At 42.2% G+C, this 23,014-nt stretch overlaps 1 annotated feature.

Annotated features, from left to right (window-relative positions):
* Positions 17,035-17,329: an enhancer, noted in NCBI's record as "tiled region #5532; K562 Activating DNase matched - State 12:CtcfO". NCBI's record gives its function as "activates a minimal TATA promoter and a strong SV40 promoter by Sharpr-MPRA in K562 cells {active_cell/tissue: K562}" and the evidence as "EXISTENCE:reporter gene assay evidence [ECO:0000049][PMID:27701403]".

The following is a 23,014-nucleotide window of genomic DNA, read 5'->3' as shown; positions in this document are numbered from 1 at the left end:
GAGGCTTTTCTCTTTAATAAAAAGCAGCCCCAAGTATTTTTTTTTTTTGAGACAGAGCCTCGTTCTGTCACCCAGGCTGGAGTGCAAGTGGCACGATCTCGGCTCACTGCAGCCTCCACCTCCCGGGTTCAAGCAGTTCTCTGCATCAGCCTCCCAAGCAGCTGGGACTACAGGCACCTGCCACCATGCCCAGCTAATTTTTGTATTTTTAGTAGACACAGGGTTTTACCATCCTGGCCAGGCTGGTCCTGAACTCCTGACCTTGTGATCCACCCGCCTCAGCCTCCCAAAGGGCTGGGATTATAAGCGTGAGCCACCGCGCCTGTCCCCCAAATCATTTTCTAACAAGGAGCAGCCTGTAAAGTTGAGCTGCAGTCAAAGACAAGCAAACTGGGAGCTTGCACGGGGGAATGCTGGCAGGAACTAGGGCCTAGACATGTTCAAGATGGCCGCTCTATCGTCCCTTCTCTTTGTGAGCCACGTGTACAGTAAAGAAGAGCAGACAAGATGGCAGGGATCAACTGGAAAGCCTATTTGCATAGTATGATTAGTGTGGGGCCGCCAGCCTTCCCAATCCTATGTAAACATCAGGCCTGATTGAACCAATCTATAAGCCCTGTGTAAATCAGACATTGCCTCCTCAAACCTGACTGTAAAACTCAGCCCATCCATCACCCACCGGTTCTTTACTCTCAGAGACCCCTTTCTCTATAGAGAAAGCTATTTCTCTTTCTCTTCTCTTCTGCCTGTTAAACGTCTGCTCCTAAACTCCTTATGTGTGTCTGCATCCTCAATTTTCCTGGTGTGCAATGACAAACCCCAAGGTATATACCCCAGACAACATAGCCACTTCAACAATTGTTATCATTCAATATCCAGTAATATCCATTTATTTTAGTTATTTGAAAAAGTTAAATAAATGGTCCTCAGCTGTGGCTGATTTTGTTCCTCACGGGACACTTGGTAGTATCTGGAGACACGTTCAATTGTCATGCCTGGAGGTTGCTGCTAGTGAGCATCTAGTGAGTAGGAGCTAGGGATGCCACTAAACATCCTATAATCAACGAGACAGTCCCCCACAGCAAGTACTAGGCTCAAAACGTCAATAATGCAGACATTGAGAAACTCCGAGTTAAATGAATCAAAACAAGGCTGTCATGCTGAATGTGTTTTTCCTTCTGTATTTTTCAAGAGAAAAATTTTAAATTATTCTATCCTAAAATATTTGCAAAGAGAATTTCAGTGGCAATGAAATACAGTTAAAAAAAGATGGAAAAAAGTAAGACAAATCTGCAATGTGTTTAGTACCTATGCTGGGCCCTTTGGTATACTTTCTATGATTAGGTTACATACTTGTCTTTTATTTTTGTAGCATTATTTATGACAGCAACATCATTCTCACAGCCCAATCTCAAATCAGGTAACTTAAATCAGGGAATATTATGACATTTTATGACATCGTATAAACAACAGTGAACGCTACTTTTGGAGGTTCTAATCTGTAAAACAAATTAATTTAGGTATGCAAAAGAAAATTATTGAAATTATTGAAATTCAACACAGATTGTTTATTTGTCGAAAGACCATTTATTCCATTTGAAATTTCAAAATATCAATTGGAGAGTTAGTAAATAATAAAAGAGTGAAGTTTCTTCACTCTTTTATTACTGCTTTCACCACTGTTATATTAAATAATGAATTTGACCTTTGATTGTTTAACTAGTACTCTAAAGCATCATACTTTGTATGTACAATTTGGTTAAATTGTCTTCAGCATAAGAAGAAACCATGAAAGGTTTTTTTGACCATTGTGTGTTTCAAGTGAACTTAAATTGGCAACCCCCTTAACACATTGAATAGATTTTTTTCAATTTTATTTTTTAGGTTTGAGAGAAAGACGTGGAGGAGGGAATCAATAGAAACTACATTTGAAACATTAGTAATTCCACAATAAATCTCCAGTTGTTCAGCAGCCTAGTAATTACAGGGCCAGAACCAAAGCAAACTATGAAAATATTCATGAACATCTAAAAGTCCAAGGCTCTATGTCTTTCCTTTTTACCACACGTATTGCTTTGTCGGTAAAGCTCTGCATAAACTATTGCATATGATGCAGTGAGTTACTCCCTGAGGCTCTGCTGTGGGGTCAGGGCCCGGCCTGAGAAGAGTGTGGTGACTGGCTGGCTGCCTTGTGGGCTCCTATCATCTTTAGCTGCTTCCCCTGACCATGAAGTTCATACTCCATGGGATTCCAGCTGAATTCTTTGGACAGAATTTTAAATCCTTGTTCCCCTTCCCCAGTAGGAAAAGCATCAAAAAACAATAAAAATAGTGCATCTGACTTTTTTTACCTAGGGAATGCCTAGAGGAGAAAATGATTTAATGAATCAAAGACTCTGGTTACCAGTGGGGCAGGATCCAGAACGACGAGGTCATCCATGTTTGCCTTTGGCGCTCCCAGTTTCGCCTCCTCCTCCTGTGTTGGTGCACCCCTGTGCTCTCTAGAATCGTACCCCACAACTCTCAGAGCACCTCACCTCACAGTCTAAACATCCTCTTCCTCTTCCCTCCTTCTGACTACAGGCGATGGTTATGAGGGCCACGTTCATTGTGCTGCATGTAAAATAATCAGGTAACCAGTTTTAGAAGACTGAATTTTAACAGGCGTTCTCTTTTGGAATGACAGATACCTAACTCATAGAAATGACCTGTAATCATGGCCTGGGTTAGGAACAAGGATTTGGAGGAAGAAAGTGCCTTCAAATCACCCTGCAAATAGTGTTGTCTACTCAGCCACAGGAAGACAAGCCCTGGGGATGCATTCAGCAGGCAGCAGGTCCCGCGGGTTCTACAGCTTCAAATTACTTGGAGCAAATGAGGCTTTTCAGGTAACACTATACTGAGTTCTAAAACATAATTAAAACGGATTTTGTACCAAATTCTATAAAATGTCAAAATATCTTGCCTAAGTAGCTTAACCAAATCACTCATAATAAGTGTCTCCAGGAATGGAACCTAAATTGGCAGAAAACAAGTTATAAGAAGGTGTGGTAGACAGAGTAATGGCCTTAAAAACTGTACACGTCCTAATTCCCAGAACCTGGGAATATATTCACAGTACATGGCAAAGAGGAATTAAGGTTGCTGATGCAATTAACTTTGCTAATCAGCTGGCCTTAACATAGATTTATTATAGTTTATCCAGATGAGGCAAACATAATGATAAGGGTCCCTATAACTGGAAAAAGGAGGCAGAACAGGTTGGAGTGATATGCTATGAGAAAGACTCAATTTACCATTGCTGGCTGGGAAGATGGCAAAAGGGGATCATGGCTCAAGAATGTGAGAAGAGCTGAGAGAGGTGGTTCACGCCTCTAATCCCAACAGTTTCGGAAGCCGAGACAGGTGGATCACTTTACTTCAGGAGTTGAGGACCAGCCTGGGCAACATGGAGAAACCTGTCTACCAAAAAATACAAAACTTAGCCAGGCATGGTTGCTCACACATGTAATCCCAGCTACTTGGGTGGTTGAGGCAGGAAGATTGCTTGAGCCCAGGAGTTTGAGACCAGCCTGGGCAACATGGCAAGACCTCATCTCTACAAAAATAAATGAAAAGTTAACTGGGCATGGTGGTGCACACCTGAAGCCCCACCTACTTGGGAGGTTGAGGCAGAAGGATCACTTGAGCCCAAGGAGGTCAAAGTTGTAATGAGTCAGGATAACACCACCACACATCAGCCTGGGTGACAGAGTGAGACCGTTTCTCAAACAAAACAAAACAAAACTAAACAAAACAAAAGAAATATGAGAAGCTTCTAGGAGCTGGAAAAGGCAAAAAAATGATTTTCCCATAGAACCTAGAAAGGAATGTAGCTTTGCCAACACCTTGATGTTAGCTCAGCACTATGTGAGACTTCTGACCTCCAGAAATACAAGATAATAAGTTTATGTTGCTTTAAGTCATTAAAATCATGAGAATTTAGTGAGAATCACTAAATTCCTACAGCAACCCTGGGAAACTAAAACAGATAGGTGTTGGAGCAAATGGTTCTGCATAGGAACCACTGTGTCTGAAATGCAGGCCTTGAGAAAGACACCCACCAGCAACTTGTGGCTATGGTCTGCAAGCTTAGCCCTTGGTGCCTACCTATGGGATAGAGGAAGCACCTTCTCTACCACTCCTAAATAGCCTGCAGATTCTGACTCTCCATTCCCACTGTCACCATCTCAGTCTAAGCCTTTGTCATCTTCGGTGTAAATTTGTGGGGGTTCAGTCAGGCTGGTGGGAAAAATTTTAGTTATAGAAAATATACACAAACCCTATTGGAAGGCCTGGGGGTTATTACATATAGTACTTGCCTGAAGGCAGCTTTGTCCCCTTAGTTAAATTAGAGTAGAAATGAAGGAATGTGGGGAGTTTATCTAGCTAGCTTGTTTACTCATATGGTCCTAAGACTAACCTTTGATTTATCACAGGTGATTAATTACTTTCTATTTGGGAAGTCTGCAATGTCAGTTACACTCTAGTGGTGTTGACTCAAGCCTTTGTCAATTAATCTTTACTGAATAAATGCTAGTCTTGCTGGCTAGCCGAGGCCTTGGTCGCAACTGTTTACAGCACTCTTCTGGGAGTCTGTAAGTGGCCCAGACACTCAGCCAAACTGGCTAAGCAGAATATCTGTGTCAGTGTACTGTATTGATTTATCATTGGGTCAGGGTCTGTGGGACAGACATCTACATAAATTATTTCAACAGCTCCTTGACTGGCTTCCCTTCTTCCAGCTTTGCTTGCTCAATGCCAAGCTCCACACTTTAGAAGGGGATCCTTGTATACCTGACTCACCACCCGAAGGAAATGTCTTCAGAGATGTTCACTGCCCCAGGTAGGGCCCATGCTCCACGTAAGGCCATCCGCTCCAGGTGTAATCGTGCCAGGCTCCATTGCCCAATATGTGGCAAGTCAATACATGGAGACACAAAGAATTGTAGCAGAGAAAGAAGTTTAATCATCAGGGATTCAAACAAGGAGGTAAGAGGAAATCTCACATCTGTCTTCCCAAGGAGTTTGGGGATAGGGATCTTAAGGGGTTTAGGATGGGTTGTGGACCTGGGGTCATGGATTAATGAAAGAGTAAAAGGTGAAATCAGGGGACAGGGAGATGAAGAAACTGTATTTTTGTGTTGACTTAGTTTTGGGGTCTTCAGACTAGCTGGCATCAGCCATTTTGCTGGTACTCAGGATCTGAAAAACATCTTAATTAATTTTTAAGCAAAACAGTCTTATGATTTTAACGTTAGAGATTCTATCTATAGAAATGATGGGGAAGCAAATGGTCAGTATCTAATGCTAGAATAGCTATAGGGACATAGGCCAGAAGGCTACCTGATTAATGCTTAACTGTACTTTTGCCTAAAGTCTGGCATGTAATTTTCCTTACCATACGGACACAGTTTCATGGGTTCACCTTAAAGAATACTAGGGCCAAGAATGAAATTAAGGCCCGCATAAAATGTGTTATAAGTCACATTAACAAACTGAGAAATAAAATATGTTATATTCTCCTGCCTTAGAAATCCAGACCCAAATTTAGAATTATCAGACTTCTCAGAGTTTCAGGCCAGAACATTTCTACATGAGGAAAGCTGGTACCCAGGCCCTCTATGTTCATGTACCAAGTCCTAAGTCCCTGATCGGCACCTGATCCCCTTCTCTCTTTATCCCTGGCCTGTTTCATATCATGAGGGATCATGCCAACTCCCTTCAAACTCCATTCCAACCCTTCACCAACAGCCACCCCTTGGCTACTCACCATGTCTACGAATACATGTTGGTGGAATGTCCTGACCTTGGAGGATGAACCCAGGGAAGAGGCTGCCCAAGACACAGGGGCAGATGCAGGGCCATAGTGGAAGGAATTCTGGGGACACCGGGACCCAGAGCATGACCTGGAAGGTAGGACAATGGGTTCCAGATGGAAACGTGTTCTTGGTCCTGCAGAGCATACTCCCCATGGGGAAGAACAACAAGAAGAGCATGTCCTAATATGTGAGGACCAGGGCACGAGCTCTTTTTCAATGGTACTGCTTCTCCACCTACCCAGCCTTACCACTGACCACCTCATAGCTGTGCTTAGTAAGAACAAAGCACATCTCACATCCTGTACCTAACAGGATACCTTTCACCTCTCTGCTCTTGCTGGAGCAATACTCATGTATGTGCTGTAAAGCCATTGATTCTTCATCTTTTTAAACTGTATTTTCTATTTTTTTGTGCCCCTAAACTTTTGGGCACAGCAAGCTGTTAATTACTGGTAATTGATTAACTGGCCTGATTTTGTGACATGAACATGGAGAGCATTAATTAAATTAAAGAATTGAAAGGCACCATGTTTTATTCATTAACAATGGGTAGAAAATATCAGACAGTCATGAGGAATATAATCCACTCAAGGGTCAGCTGTTTTCCCACCAGATATGAGGGCATTAGAAAGTGACAATAATAAAGACATGCCATTCTGGAACTAGAAGAGATATTCAGATCAGTGAAGTAAAATTATATAGGAACAAAAAGGTCTGTGCTAGCATCATGATCTCAGCAAGGTAAGCAGGACAGTATTAAAGGTGCTCTCACTCTCTGCCTGAAGGCTTCCTGAAAGTGTTAACAATATAATTACTAGACACTGAATCTTGGGGAGTAGTTGGAGTCTAGGTGCCCATTCTGACCAAGGAATCTGTTGACAGTGCTCACCTTGGTTTACCTTCACAAAGGCAGCATTTCCTTACTTTCAAGAAGCTTGATGTCTAACCTGGCCTCTTCACCATGGATAAAACACACACAAAACGAGAACTCAGTAGAACAGTGGCAACCCTACTGATTTTTAAAGGATGCGGATTTCAACAAAGAATCTACCCTGTTCTTCCGTAGAAGAGCCCAGTGGGTGGAATGATGCCCCTCACTCAAGGTGAGGGCAGAGCTTGCAAGAGAACTGATCATTAAGTCCTGAAAAAGGCAGTGAGAACTTACAAGGGCATGGTACGTTTTGTAAGATCTCACAGAAGACCCAGGTCACTGAAAACTGGAAGATGCATTTGCAGTGTAGAAAGCATTTTAGCTGGGTGAAACTGCACTAATTAAGATGCATCATGGGTAGAGGGGAAATTAAAGAACCAGAAAAGAAACAATTACTGTTTTAGAGACATAAGTGTCTGCATTCAAATACCAACTCTACCATTTATCATTTGTACTAACTTTGGATGACTTTGAGAATTTTTTTTTGTCTCAGGATTCTTATTTTTAAAAATGCAGAGGCTATTTGGTATCAGCATCATAATGGGATGCAAAATGAAACAGAATAATAATTATAAAAAAGTTTAGGACAATTTATGAAGAACTTGCATGTACTTCTTCTCATGTGGGATGCTGTTGCAATATATCCTTTTTTTTAAGGTAGATTGATCAATTCAAAGCATAAAATAAACTGATAAAAGTGGATGGTACGGGCACAACTGTAGATAATCACTAACTTGCAAACAACAATCTGGAAAGAAGAGGTGTTTTGTCCACCTTGCACACGTTATAAGTTTCCTCTAATCTGGCAACTTTATTATCCCCAACATCTATGGAATAAGTCAAATTCACGTATTACATAGACTCAGAGAATCTCAAAGGGCATAGAATGCATCCAAGGATGCCAATCTAACTCATGCAACCATATGTTGATGATCTGGGGGAGGAAAGCTTATAAGCATTGCAAATTGCTACCAGGCTATTGCAGCTTCAACGGCAATGTGGAGACTTATTCTTCCCACATTTTTGTTCCCTAAAGCAGAGTATATTTCAAACTTTTGAATCTTTCATTTCCATTTCTCTACCACAAGAAGATATAAAGCCGCTCAGACACTTGCCGGTTAAAGTACTTGAGCTCCAGGATAAATACTTAGGAATAGAGCCAGTCAGATTTGTCTCCCAGCTTTTGTCCCTTTTCTCTTCTAGTGAGGAAATTGCACCTCATTAGCTTTGTGACTTTAGAAAGCCACTTCACCTTTCTAAATCTCAGTTTCTTCAATTGCAAAGTAGTAATGATATTTAAAACACATCACTGCTATTAGGGTTGCACAGAGTAACCCTTAGCTTTTAAATCACTTCCAGAGTGCCTGGTGCATAAATAGAAGCCATAACTCTTATTATACCCTTTGCTCTTCACACTGTATTGTTTAGCTTCCTTGTTTTATAAATTATGGCATTGTTTATATAAAAATGAAATGCTTAGATATTCAAGTTAATGAGTTCTGACAAATGTATATACCTGTATACCCACTTCATACAACAAGATATTGTTTCCAACATTCCTGAAAGTTTTTTTGTGTACCCTTCCAGTAAGTTTCCCCACCTCCCATTGAAAATCATTTCTAAACTCTAGCAGATTTCTAGCTTAATCTAGCATCGATTACTTTTGCCTGTTTGTATGGTATATCAATGAAATTATATGACATCTCATCCTATGCATCTGCCATGTTCACTCAATTTAATGTTTTTGAGATTCATCATCCATATTGTTGCATATATTAAGCTAGTAGATTTCTGATTGCTAAGTATGAATATATTACAATATATTTAGCTATTTTCCTGTTGATTGACATTTGGATTATTGCTAATTTCAAGCTATTATTAATAAAACTGCTAACATTCTTTTCTTGCACAAGTTGTTTTGTTGATATATGTTTCCTATTTTTCTTTTTCTTTTTTTTTTTTCAGAGAAAGAGTCTCTCTCTGTTACCCAGGCTGGAGTGCAGTGATGCAATCATAGCTCACTGCAACCTCAACTTCTTGGGTTCAAGTGATCCTCCAGCTTCAGTCTTCTGAGTAGCTGAGATTATAGGTACTCACCACCCCACCTGGCTAATTTTTAAAAATTTTTTGCACGACAGAATCTCGCTATCTTGCCCAGGCTGGTCTCAAACTTCTGGCCTCTAGTGATCATCTGCCTTGGCCTCCCAAGTGCTGGGATTATAGGCACGAGCCACTGTGCCCAGCCTGTATATATGTTTTTATTATTATTCAGGGTAAATATTATTATTATATTAAATTAAATATTACTCAGGGTAAATGCCTAAGTGTTGAATTTCTGGGTCATAGAGTAGATACATGTTTAACATTATATATGCTAAATCGTTCCCTGAAGTGGTTGTATTATTTTTCACTTCTGACAGCAAGGTATAGGAAGCTCAGTTGCTGCACATCTTTGCCAGCCTGTGCTATTCTCAGTCTTTCTGTTATAGCTGACCTAGTGTATGTAAAGTGGTATTTTATTATTGCTTATTTTGAATTTCCCTGACTGCAGTGATTTTGAGCACCTTTTCTTGTGCTTACTGGTCACTGAGTTAGCTCCTTCTCACTAGGGTCTTTTTGAGACCTTATCTATTTTTTTTTTCAAAACTGGGTCTTTCTTTTAATTATTGATTTACAGGAAATTTTTAAAATATGTTATGAGTAAGAGTGTTTTTTTAGATATATAATGAATATTTTCAGGCTGTGATTTACCTTCTTATTGTCATAATGATATGTTTTTAAGAGAAAAAATTTTAATTTTGACATAATTCAATTTATGTAGTTTTTTCTTTCATTATTAAGGCTTCTTTTTTTCTAAGAAATCTGGCTAAACTCAGTGTGGAAAGATATTCCTTTATGTTTCTTTATGGAAGTTTTTTTTTTTTTAATTCAAGCTTTTACATTCATGGCTCTGATCCATCTTGAATTAGTTGTTACACACGGAGTGAGTAGGGTACAATGTTCAGCTTTTTCCCAACAGAGTATTCAGTTGTTCCAATACATTTTGTCTATAAGGCTCCTTTTTGTTTTTGTTCTTTCATAAAAATTTAAGGGGTACAAGTGCAGTTTTGCTACATGGATATATTGTGTAGTGGTGAAGTCTGGGCTTTGGTGTACCCATCACCTGGATGATGTACATTGTACCCGTTAAGTAATTTCTATCCCTTGCCCCTCCCACCTTCCTACCCTTCTGAATCTCCAGTGTCTGTTATTCTACACTGTATGTCCCCATGCACGCATTATTTAGCTCCCACTTATAAGTGAGAACAGGAGGTATTTGGCTTTCTGTTTCTGAGTTGTTTCATTTAAAATAATGGCCTCTAGTTCCACCCATGATGCTGCAAAAGACATGATTTAATTCTTTTTAATGGCCGAATAGTATTCCATTGTATACATTTATCACATTTTCTTTATGTAATCACTTAGGTTGATTCCATGACTTTGCTGTTGTGAATAGAGCTGTGATAAACATGTGAGTGCAGGTATTTTTTTTTACATAATTTCTTTTCCTTTGGGTGGATACTCGGAAGTGGAATTGCTGGATCAAATGGAGGTTGCAGTTTTAGTTCTTTGAGAAATCTCTATACCATTTTTCAGAGAGGTTGTACTAATTTACATTCCCACCAACAGTGTATAAGCATTCCCTGTTCTCTGCATCCTCACTGATATCCATTGTTTTTTGACTTCTTAGTAGTAACCATTCTAACTGGTGTAAGATGATATCTCATTATGATTTTGATTCACATTTCCCTGATGATTAGTGATGTTGAATATTTTTTTTCATATGCCTGTTAACTGTTTGCATGGAAAAGACTCCTTGGCAACTTGGACATAAAATAATTATTGGTTAATTTGCAGGTCTATGTCTAGACCCTGCTCTTTTTCATTGATTTATTTGGTTTGTCCTTATACAAATACTACATTTCCTTGATTGCTGTAGTTTTGTAGTAAATCTTGTTTAAGGTCACTAAAATAGGCCTATCTCTTCTTTCCAACCTATATGGCTTTTTTTTTCTTGCCTTATTATCCTACCTATGACTATCAGCATAATGTTGAATAAAAGCTATGAGAGTTGGTGTCATTACTGTTTTCTGGTTTCATGTAAAATATATCCAATATTTCACCATAAGTTATGATGTTAACTATTGGTTTTTCATAGATATTATGATAGATTAAAGAAGTTGCTTTTATTCCTAGTTTTCTGAGAGTTTTAAAAAATCATGAATAGGTATCAAGTTTTGTCATGTGCCTTTTCTGTATCTATCAAGTTACTCGTAAGATTTTTTATTCAGTTAATGTAGTAAAATATGCTGATTTGGAATGTAAGTAAGCCTTACATTCTTGAATTAAGTGTCATGCAAATGATATGTTATCCTTTTTATGTAAGGCTGGATGTGATTTACTAATTTTTGTTAAAGACTTATACATCTATGCTCATGACAGATATGGTCTATAATTTACCTCTTTGATGTCTCAAGTTTGGAGTCAGGGTATTGCTAGACTCATAAAATAAATTGGTACAGATTGACCTAAATGGAACTCTGAAAAATACTCACTATATAATCTAATTGCCAAGTCCAACCCCCATTATCAAATTAATGAGCAAAACGCAGAATAATTTTTGTCAGAAAAATATTCCTTTATTTTTCAATTCAAATAAACATTATTGATATGCACTCCTTTGATAACCGTCTTCTAAATTATAATTCTAAGATAGATAGGTAAATAAATAGATTTAGATGAAGACACACACCTTTGTTGCTATAAAAGTGACACACCCTTGCCTTCAATATTCCTTATAGATATTTTCTTTGCTTTGCCCTCAAAGACTCATCCTCAATAGCAATACAGTCTTTGACAAGACCAAAAGAGGGAAGACATAAGGACACACGCAAATAAAAGTTGTTAAAATTCTGCTATTCCATTCAATAATATAGCTGTACTCCAAGCATTGACAACATTTTAAACCTAAACCCGTCATTTCTAATACCACGATTTGCTCTGAACAGAAATATGCATAATGTGTGGAAAGTCTAGAAGTCCAACCGGGATGATTCAACTTTAAATAAAGAAGGCTACTGAGGCTATTCATACCATTATTTTGTCTCTTTGACTTTATCCTGGAGGTTTTTATATCCCCTGGGCAACACACCCCAGTAAAATTCAGGGTGGTGATAGGCATGCAGTTCCTTTGCAAGGTGGGAAGAGGGCTGCTTAAAAAGTGGGGACGGTAAAATAGAATTGTTGTTATGCCTTCGCCTCAGATGCTTTTGTAGATAGATCACTTTTAGAACACACTATATCCATGGAAGTTGAAAAACTGGAAAATGATTTCCAAGATTTTCTTGGAAAGTCTTCATGTGCCCCACAGCTATGCCTACAAGTGGGTGAAACCTTTCGGCCCTCTCAGTATCTCTTCTTTCCATTGTTATTAACAGAATCCCAGTTTCCTTTGGGGCATTGTGCACAGCTAAAATATTCACCTTGCAAGACTGACTTGCATTATGACCCAGTTATTGCTGATGAAATCTAAACTGAGTTGCTGGGATGGGGATGGAGTGCCTGTCTTTTGAAGCAATTGTTTTTCTAATAAAATGGAACCAATTCAGCTGGCACGTCCCCTCGTCTTTCACTTTCCCTCCTTTGTCTCCCTGGAATGCAAACAATCTCTGGAGGTGTAGCAGTCATCTCATGACCAGCAAAACAAAAACCACATGTTCATAATGGAAGAACAGATAAATCCAAGGAGACTGGGTCTTTGTTGATCACCTTAGGAGCCTGCACCAGCCTCAAGCTGGTACATCCAGATTTTTAATGCATGAGAAAAATAAGCCCCATTGTTTAAGCCCTTGTTGTCAGAGTTTTCATTTATTGGCTCCAAATCCTGAATGAAACAAGGGATGCTTTTCTTATCCATGCCTTGAGGAATACATGATTTAAATTTCCGGCCTGAAAGATTTTGCTAAATGCTATAGGGAATGCTAATGAACTGCTATGCAATTATATTTACATATTATTCTAGATGATAGTTTCTCTAATATAAATAAGACAAATTTATAAAATAAATGTTCTGAACATCAACTGAAATATTACAAGGTTTTTGTAGGCATCACTTTCTTATCATTTTCGTTCTTGGAAATAGTAAGCAGTCAGTAAATATTTTCCCAACAAATGACACAAAGGAGTAAAAAGGCCGATTTGAACATTATTTTTTTACTTAATAATAAGGACTATAATTAATGTTTGAGAGTAACTTGGGAAAAAAACTATAAATTCAATTCTACTGTTCATAAAGTAGTTATACATCACAATATCTGGGGGACTGGAAATAAAATACAATATAATTTAATATTTGAGTAATGAGGGAAACATCACCTGAAATGAGAATGATGATTTAAAACTTGCAACCTAATACATTTGTGAAAATTTATTAGTGAATTTCATCTAGTGCTATCCAAGATGATAGATCGTCAGAAAATTTGAAATGAATCACAATTATTATTCATTGAGGAAACAGCTAAATGTATTAGGAAAAATCTCAAAAATGGCATAAAAATAACATTCTCAGATATTCAATGATAATTTTCCCAAGTGTTTTATATGAATTATGTCATATAATTATTTCCATAACCCTAAATATGGATAATATTTTTTTCTATTTTATAAATAAGGAAACTAAGACATAGGCAAATTAAGTAAATTGCCTAAGTTCACACAGGTAATAAGTGATACAGCAGGATTAAAACCAAAGCAGTCAGCTCTATTGATGGTCTGGAAGTTACTTCCTATGCCTAAAGATGGCAATTATCAACACCAGATGCAACATAAAAATAACAACTGGCCAGGTGCAGTGGTTCATGTCTGTAATCCCAGCACTTTGGGAGGCCAAGGCGGGTGGATCACGAGGTCAGGAGTTCGAGACCAGCCTGGCCAATATGGTGAAACCCCATCTCTAATAAAAATACAAAAATTAGCCAGGCATGGTGGCAGGTGCCTGTAGTCCCAGCTACTCTGGAGGCTGAGGCAGGAGAATTGCTTGAACCTGGGAGGTGGAGGTTGCAGTGAGCCGAGATCACGCCACTATACTCTAGCCTGGGCGACAGAGCGAGACTCCATCTCAAAAAATAATAATAAAATAAAATAATGACCTGAGTACTTTGGAGAGTAAATAAAATCAGGCAGCTTCTGAAGAGAAGCCAACAGTTGGAAGAAGGAAATGGCACAGAGTCAGTTTCTCATTTTGAAATGGCTCTTAGCCTAATGTCAGGCTATAGCTGGTGCTGCACAGGGCAACTAAAACCCAGATAAAAACCCACAGTCTTTGTGGTTTGAGAAACCAGGGAACAGAGTTCAGGACACTCATATTCACTAGAAAGTGAGGAGAAAACTCTGGAGAGCAAAGGGCAGAGAGGGAGACACCAAGTATATGAAATTTTTCTAAGCCTTTGGTTGACCCCTGAATACACATCAACGTTGATGCACCTGGAGGCAACAGCTGGATGTGACTTGGAGTTGTCTCAGGTTGAGGAGATGATGTGAAACTTGTGATTTTATGTGCAATAATTAGGTTATGTTAGGCAAAGACACCTTTGGATATATGAGAAGAAAGGTTTATTGGGGTGGGTAGCCCACAGGTGTGATTTCAGAGAGGCATTTTGAAACAATCCTCCCTATTGGTAACTGCTCCTGGCATTCATGAGTGGTCCTGCATCAGCCATGGCTTCTGTATCAGTCAAGGTTCTCCAGAGAGACAGAATATGTATATATATGAAAGACAGTGTATTAGGGAGAATTGGCTTACACGATTACAAGGGCAAAGTCCCACGATAGGCCACCTGCAAGCTGGAGAATGAGAGAAGCTGGTAGTGTGGCTCCTAGGGAAGGCAGTAGGTAGCTCAGTCCCAGTTTGAAAGCCTCAAAACCAGGGAAGCCAGCAGTGCAGGCCCCAGTCTGAGACCAAAAGCTTGAGAGCCTCCAGGAGGCTCCAAGAGGTTGTTAGTGCAAGTCTCAGGTCCAAAGGCTGAAGAACGGAGAGTCTGGTGTCCAAGGGCAGGAGGAGAAAAGGTGTCTTGCTCCAGAAGGGAGAGAGAGAGAGAGAAGCAGCTAAGAAAACTGCTTGTCCTCCTTCTGCCTGCTTTGTTTAACCAAGCTCCCAGCCAATTGAACAACGTGGGCAGGTCTTCCCCTGCCTTTCCACTGACTCACATGCCAGTCTCCTCTGGAAACGCCCTCACAGACACACCCAGAAACAATGCCTCACCAGCCATGCAGGCATCCCTCAATCCAGTCAAGTTGACACCTAATATTAGCCATCACAGCTTCCTATGTCACTTTGGGTCTCTGGTCCTAGTGAAACAGGTTCTATCAGATTCTCTCTCCTAGAAAATTGGAAATTCATGAGAAAGCACATAAAGAATGGGGTCTCTGGGGCTGAATCACGCAAATAGCAGTGCTAGAGAGGAAAAGTTCACAAACTGGCTGAGTTCCCGGGAAGAATCTGCTTTTACCCTTCCCAACAGGGCTGAGTTGCTCACTTCTTCCCCGAATTCAGTGAATATGCCACTATTCTGTCAAAGAATATATATACATATATATATACATTTTGTCCCTTAAACTACTAGGAGTCAGCTTCTGTTACTTGCAGTCAAATGAGCCACACTTTGGTTATTTAGAGCCCAGAATTAATGAGGAATAGCCCTCAGTGATATGAATTTGAGAGTGGTCAAAATGTCACAACCATTGACATTCATCACCATGGTACTGCTGGAAACCTTTTATTCCCACCATTAGAATAACTTTGGGGATTAAAAGCATTGTCTCTAAAATGTCTTTTTTAAAGAATTAAGATTAATAGTAATGTTGGGAGTAGAACCCCCTAACGTATGCATGATACAACTCAAACTCATTTTTCAGGGCAAGTGGTCCGAGACAGGAAAGCTTTGCCCCTGAGGGGCAGGAAAAATGCAGCACAAGAAGCAGAGAGGCCAGCACACTGAGGGGGCAATCAAGGGAGGGGGGCTTTGGGAGTCTTAACTTTCTCAGCTTTACCTAGGAGGCAGCATAATGACTGCTATAAAGCCAGTATGTGATGTCCAGAAGATGAGGTCAGAGAGAGTGTCAGAGCCAGATCACTTAAGACCTTGCAGGCCTGGGCAGAGAGTTTGGATTTTTAAAAGTGTAATGGTAAGTCATTGAGAGCTGAGCATAGAAGAGTAAAATCATCGGATTTAAGTTTTCGAAAGATCACTCCAGGCTGGGTGCAGTGGCTCACACCTGTAATCCCAGCACTTTGGGAGGCCAAGGCAGGTGGATCACGAGGTCAGGAGATCGAGACTACCCCAGCTAATATGGTGAAACCCCGGCTCTACTAAAAATGCCAAAAAAAAAAAAAATTAGCTGGGCATGGTGGCGGGTACCTGTAGTCCCAGTTACTCTGGAGGCTGAGGCAGGAGAATGGCGTGAACCTGGAAGGTGGAGCTGGCAGTGAGCCCAGATCGCGCCACTGCACTTTAGCCTGGGTGACAGAAGGAGACTCCATCTCAAAAAAAAAAAAAAAAGATCACTTCCACTGACCCATGCACAATTGGGGGCAAGGGCAGATTCAGAAAATCAGGTAGGAGTTAAAACAATAATCCAGGCAAAGAGTAATGGCATCTTAGATGAAGGTGGTAGAAATGGGGGTGACAAGAAGTGCTCAAGTGCAAGATGTACTCCAGAGGTAGATCTTTAAGGATTTGCTAATGGATTGACAATGTGGTATAAGAGAAAGATAAATCAAAGATGATTTCTAAGTATTTGGCATGAGCAAGTGGGATGATCATTTGTTTCACCAAGATGGGGACTGTATCAGTCAGGATCCAGTTAGGAGGAAGAAACTATACCTGTTATTTTAACAGAGATTATTTAATATAAAATTTAATATTAAAAAATAACCTAGGCAAAGTGAACACCATGGTATCACTGAGGTAGCAACTGCAGGAAGCAACCACCACTCCCAGGGATGGAAAAACAAACAGAAGGGGTTGGAATTATGAATATTCAGAAGCGTGGAAGCAGGTCCGATGTAGCTGAGTACGATGAGAAGGGGGCACTGCTTAGCTGGTGCTATTGTCTCTCAGCTTAGAGGAAAAGCACTGCAGAGCTGGGACCCAGACCTCCCAGGTGATTGGTGTTGTTGGTTTCTCCAAGAAGACATAACAAAAGCTGGGAAAAACTGTGATCACTACTGGCATCAGGATAAACCACTGCTGCCAGGTGGAAAAGCATTGCCAGGGTTAGATTGACAGGAACAGGAAGTCAAAACAGGAAGAGAAAGTAAACCAGGAAGAAACCCAAAAGGAAGGAGGAGCAAGTTCCTTCTGTCTTCTCCAGAGTTAAAGTTTTTTTTCTCTAGCGCCCCCTCCTGGCAAAGCCTAACAGGGACCCACTGGCTAAACAAATGTGAGGAGACAGGTGGGGTTCAAGCTGAGAAATAGCTTAACAGCTGATAGAATTTGGATTCGGGGGCATGTTTTGGTAGGAAGAATCAAGACTTCTATTTGAGGGATCTATTGTGATGCCGAATGGAGATGTTGGGGAGAGAACAGGTTATACAACCAAGAGATGAAGGAAAGGTTGAAGCTGGGGTAGAAATTTGAGATTCAATAATTACCATGCTTGATTTGTTTCCATAAAAAAAGGAAACCAAAATAAGAATTAAAAACTAAATTATCAACACTGAATACTTTCCTTACTGAGCTATGTAAAAGCATGCTATGATTGTGATTTTACATAGGCTATGTACAGATAATTTTTCTTTTTGCTCAAAATTTGATAATGAAAGATTTAGAAAGAAATGGGACGATCCAAATAAAATGTTTCAGTGTGGCAAGATAAATTTAGGGCTTCGTATAATGAGGGGAAGAATCTCTAAATGTCCTCTGTTCCATGTGTTTTCTTTCAGTAAGCACTATATAGAAATAATCCCAGAAATATAATTGTTCTCTTTATTCCTCTTGATTTAAAGAGAGAATGTTTCTTTTCATGGCATTTTAATAAAATGCGGCATTATACAAAATATTGAGACATTCATAAATTTCTTTAACAGGACAAAAATAATATGATATATAGTAATTAGATATTTCCTACTTACATCATCCTCATTTGAAATGACCTTGAAACACTTTACAAAAGCTCTGAGTAATTAATAATAAAAGGAACCCTAGACATTGATAGATATTATAATTCTTCCCATTATAATTATGGAAAAAGCAAGATATTACACATCTTCCACTGTCCTAAGAAGTACTCATTTTAGGATTTAGACAGATTGAGCATGTTTGTTTATAGGGCTGTGTTGGGATGGCTACCATGGGTTTATAGAGTGGAAGATGAAAGAGTCTCCTGAGAAAGAATACATCCAGGAAAAGAGTTGGTACACAGCTATGTCTAATATTAGAGCCTTGGTCACAGTATGGGACAGGAGACTCAGTAGAGTCAGCGACCAAACTGTTCTTTTGACCTACCTCCATGGATTCATCTCTGAGTTCTAGAGAGAGATGAGCAGCAAATAAAAACTTACAATTTTTCTCACCAAAAGCTCTGTAAGATATTTATTTTTTTAACCGAGCATTTATTGCTTTTTTCTGCCCAGCATCCCTTACGTTCATATTCCGATAGCAGTACCTTTCCTTCTTTGTGGAATTTTTCTTACCCTCTCTTTTGTGAGGCTTTAATGGTACTCTCCATTTCAATATCTTATCCTCGGGCCACCACGATTGATGCAAGCAAAAGCACCTGACCCAAACTGTATCAAACAGTATCTTTGATAAGATTTTACATATCGTTACAGGATCTTTGGGGTGTTGCTTTTCTGGCCAGAAACCTCTGTGGCTGGTGGCACCTTTCCCTGAGTGTTGCTCGGGCCCACTGAGCTTGTTCCACTCACTTGGCCTGGCAGGCCACGCTCGGCTCACGCCACCAGCCTGGACCCCACGACTCTGAGTGGGAGTCAGGCATGGAACAGCAAGGGGTGTGTGAACGAGTGTGGGGTCCAGCCACTGCACACAGTCAGACACGACAGCTGCTGCCATGGCACAGGCAGCTCCAGGTGCTGGGATGGGTGCCCACTCTCTGTGAGACTGCAGCTGGACCAGGTGCACCACAAGCAGCTTCCCTGGCTGGCACCAGGGAATGCAGTGGTGCCCGGAAGCCTGGAGACATCAGGAACCACAGGGCCCCAAAGAGGGAGTCACAGACCTGGCTTTGGGAGCCTCCAGGGCTGGGATCCCTGAAGGGCTGCATCTTTTCTCTCCTTCTCTTCACCTGCAACATAGCAAGTAAGGGGCATGTTTCAGCCCTGTTTGTGTTACAGCTCTTTTAGCCTCATTTGGCAAGTCCCAAGTTCTTGTCCCTTGACCAGAAAGAATAAGGTATACAAACAAGTGGAGGGTGAGCAAAATGAAGAGGAGCTATATTGAGCAATGAAACAGCTCTGAGGAGACTGGCAGTGGGCAGCTTCTCTCCCTAGCCAGGGTGTCCCAACAAGTGTTCAACTCTCAGGAGAAAGGGTAGCTCATCTCTGCAGCTGGTCCTCTAGTCATCTCCCCATTGTCTCCCCATCCTCTGCTTGAGTCTGGCTGAGTCTGGAGGATTTTATGGGCCTCAGAGGGGAGGAAGTGCATGCTGATTTGTCCATGGGCAGCCATGGGTGGGCACAGGGAAAAGCACCATAAGATCCCCCTCTGGTCCACCAGACTGATGGCCTGGCTCCCAGGCTTCAGGTCCTCCCTGCTTGAAGGTGGGGCCTCTCTGGAGACCAGCCCATTCTGCCCAGGAGCCTGTCTGCCTCCACTATGGTTCACAGCACCCAGGCTGTTCATGGCATCCAGGCTGTTCATGCTAAGGGGCGCCTGAAGGCCAGTGTGGGGCTGTCCCCAGGGCCCCCTTTGCCTCCCTCCCGTGCTTATTGGTGCCCGAAGTCCACAGGGGCTGAGGTGGCAGGGGGCTTGCATGTCAGTGCTGCCCCGAGTGTGTGAACGCAGCTGGGCTGCAAAAGTGTGCAGGCTCATCCCCCAACTTTGCTCAGAGATTGGGAGAGGCACCAACAGCTGGGCCAGGCCATGGGAGCAGCCACTTCTGAGCCTGTGGAAGGCAGGGGGTCTTCCCAGACCCCGAAGAGCACAGAGATGCCTGGGTCTGGAGCCGTGGCAGGGCACCTGCAGCAGCACCCAGGGAGTTCCCACCCCACCAACTAGAAAGGGGCAGGGCTCCCACTTGTCCCCTGCTCTGCCAGCTCCCTGGAGTGACCTCGCCACACCTCTTTGCAGCCTGGGGCGGGAGCCTGGCAACTGGGGGAAGGATGACGTTGCTGTGAGTTCTTTCTGTGTCCCCGGGCTCAGGGGAGGCCTGAGGTTCCTCCTCACCCAGCTGGCAACTCTGCCTGGGTGTGCCTCTGGGAGCGCCTCTGGGAGCCCATCATGAGCACCAGTCCGGCCTTCGGGAGCTTCAGGCTCGGCAGTCACCCCAATGTGGGGCCGACCCTGAGGACGTGGCCCTGGGTGGCCCCGCCAGGGCTTTCTCCCAAGGTGCATGACTGGTTTGTGGGCACGGTGGCTGGCTGCTCCCTGGTTCCTGTAGTGGGAGCCCCTCCCACTTCCCACCCCGGGCCCCTGAAGCATGGCCCCAGCTCCGCCCCCCGCCGGCCCCCACACTCCCCGTGGAAGCGTGGCACCACTCCAGGCCCAGCTCTCCCTCAGGGCCCCTCTCTGCCTGCCCCTTCCGTACCCGACTGCTCTGCTCCCCCACCAGCTGGAGACTCAGCCCGGCCCCATCACGGCGGCCCGCAGGACGGGGGGCTCCGGGGACTGTCCACCTCCTCCCCATGCTCTCCCTGCAGCCGCAGCGGGTGACAGCAGTGACGTAGGGCCACAGTCTAGAGCAGTGGAGGCTCCGGGCCTGGGAGTGGTCCAGCCTGGCTCCGTGAGGGTGGGGGTGGCACAGTCGGCTGCCCCAGGACTCGAGGCACAGGGGACTCGAGTCACAGCGGTCCCACCTATGGTGGCAACCACATTACTTTGAAAGAGAAAAAGTAGTATCCCTCCTCTAAGGTTGCTAAGCTAGGATGATGTGAGCCTGGGTCAATGGCAGGCCATTTCTCAACAAACTCATCACATTCCCCATGAAAGAAATAACTTCATAGCAAGTGGGAATGAAAGCAATAGAAAGAGAGAGATGTGGGGCTTTGAAATGGGTGGAGATAAATATTGACACCAAGGAGGGAGGGAGTGAGGGAGGAAAGAAGAAAATGAAAGAGCAAAAGTGAGTCTAACATTGTTGAGGCTCTGAAGATTCTAAACCCATATTGTGGATTTTCTGATTATATATGATTCAAGAACTTCCCAGTTTCTGAAGTCCAGAGAATTAACAGAGATCAGCATAAAAGTGGAGGAAGGGCCAGGTGTGCACTGGCTCACACCTGTAATCCCAGCACTTTGGGAGGCCGAGGCAGGTGGATCATTTGAGGTCAGGAGTTGGAGATCAGCCTGACCAATATGGTGAAACCCCATCTTTATTTAAAAATACAAAAAAAATTAGCTGGGTGTGGTGGCTCATGCCTGTAGTCCCAGCTACCTGGGAGGCTGAGGCAGGACAATTGCTTGAACCCGGGAGGCAGAGATTGCAGTGAGCCTAGATGGCACCACTGCATTCCAGCCTGGGGGACAGAGCAAGACTCCATCTCAAAAAAAAAAAAAAAAAAAAAAAAAAGACAGTGGAGGAAGAAGATTTTTCCTGTTATACCAGAAAATAGCTGGCCCCATGGAGCCTTTATAGGATACGGCCACTAGCACCTCGAGTGCCTCAGCACATTGATAACTGCATCCCTGCAGGGACACATCCAGAGCACGCGACTGTCACAGGTCAGAGCCTGAAAACGGGCATCTGGAAAAACAGATTTAGTAGTAGCAAGATGCAGCAAATGTCATTAAAATTGCTACGGTCTGAATGTTTGTGTCACCCCCAAGTTCATATATTGAAACCTAATCCCCAATGCAATAGTTTTAAGAGATGGGGACTTTTAAATCATGTGGATAGAGTGCTCATTAATAGGATGAATGCCCTTATAAAAGAGGCCTGAGAGAGCTTGTTTGCCCCTTCTTCCACATGAAGACACAGAGAGAAAGCACCATCTAGGAACTAGGAAATGAACCCTCACTAGACACCAAATCTGCTATAACTTTGATCTTGGACTTCCTAGCCTCCAGAACTATGAGAAACAAATTTCATTGCTTGCAATTACTCAATCTTACCCAGTCTAAAGCATGTTGCAATAGCAGCCTGAGTATTCTAAGACAGAAATAGTAAAAAGAAGCTTTGAAAGAAGTTGGGGTGGGGGTGAGAGTGTTTTGACATATATAATAGCACCCTTGATGCTGACCAGACATGGCAATTCTCACAAAGTATATAATCATTGATGTACCCAGTTGTAGACATATTAAAACAGGGGTGGGCAGAGTATAGAAAAGGAGAGGAAAAAAATTAATGGATGTCATATGGAAGCATAAGTGAGACACCCTCTGAGGCCTCCTACAAATAGATCCAAATAGGAGCAGGTCTTTGAAAGGAAAGCAGTCTTTTTGGTGGTTATAACTGTAATTGGGACTCTGTTTTGTTTGTTTGTTTGTTTGTTTGTTTTGAGACAGAGTCTCACTCTGTCGCCCAGGCTGGAGTCCAGTGGCGCGATCTCGGCTCACTGCAAGCTCCGTCTCCCGGGTTCACGCCATTCTCCTGCCTCAGCCTCCCAAGTAGCTGGGACTACAGGCACCCGCCACCACACCCGGCTAATTTTTTTTTTTGTATTTTTAGTAGAGACGGGGTTTCACCATGTTAGCCAGGATGATCTTGATCTCCTGACCTCGTGATCTGCCCGCCTCGGCCTCCCAAAGTGCTGGGATTACAGGCGTGAGCCACCGCGCCCGGCCTGGGACTCTGCTTTGACTCTCAGACGAAAAGATCTGAGAAAAATGAATTACACAAAGCTTCACATTCCCAACTGGCAAAAAACAAAAAAGTAACCATGCCCATGATAAAAGGAAGAATAAGGTGCTTTTCTTGAGTCATTTTGAGAGGCAAGAATCACTGAGCAAATAAGATTGACACAGGCATGTCAATAGTACTAAAAACAGGTACTGACTAAGATTGCATC

This window comes from Homo sapiens, chromosome 1 (genome assembly GCF_000001405.40).
Source record: "Homo sapiens chromosome 1, GRCh38.p14 Primary Assembly".
Taxonomy (NCBI): Eukaryota; Metazoa; Chordata; class Mammalia; order Primates; family Hominidae; genus Homo; species Homo sapiens.
The sequence above is the reverse complement of the archived record's forward strand: the minus strand, read 5'-3'. Positions and strand labels throughout refer to the sequence as shown.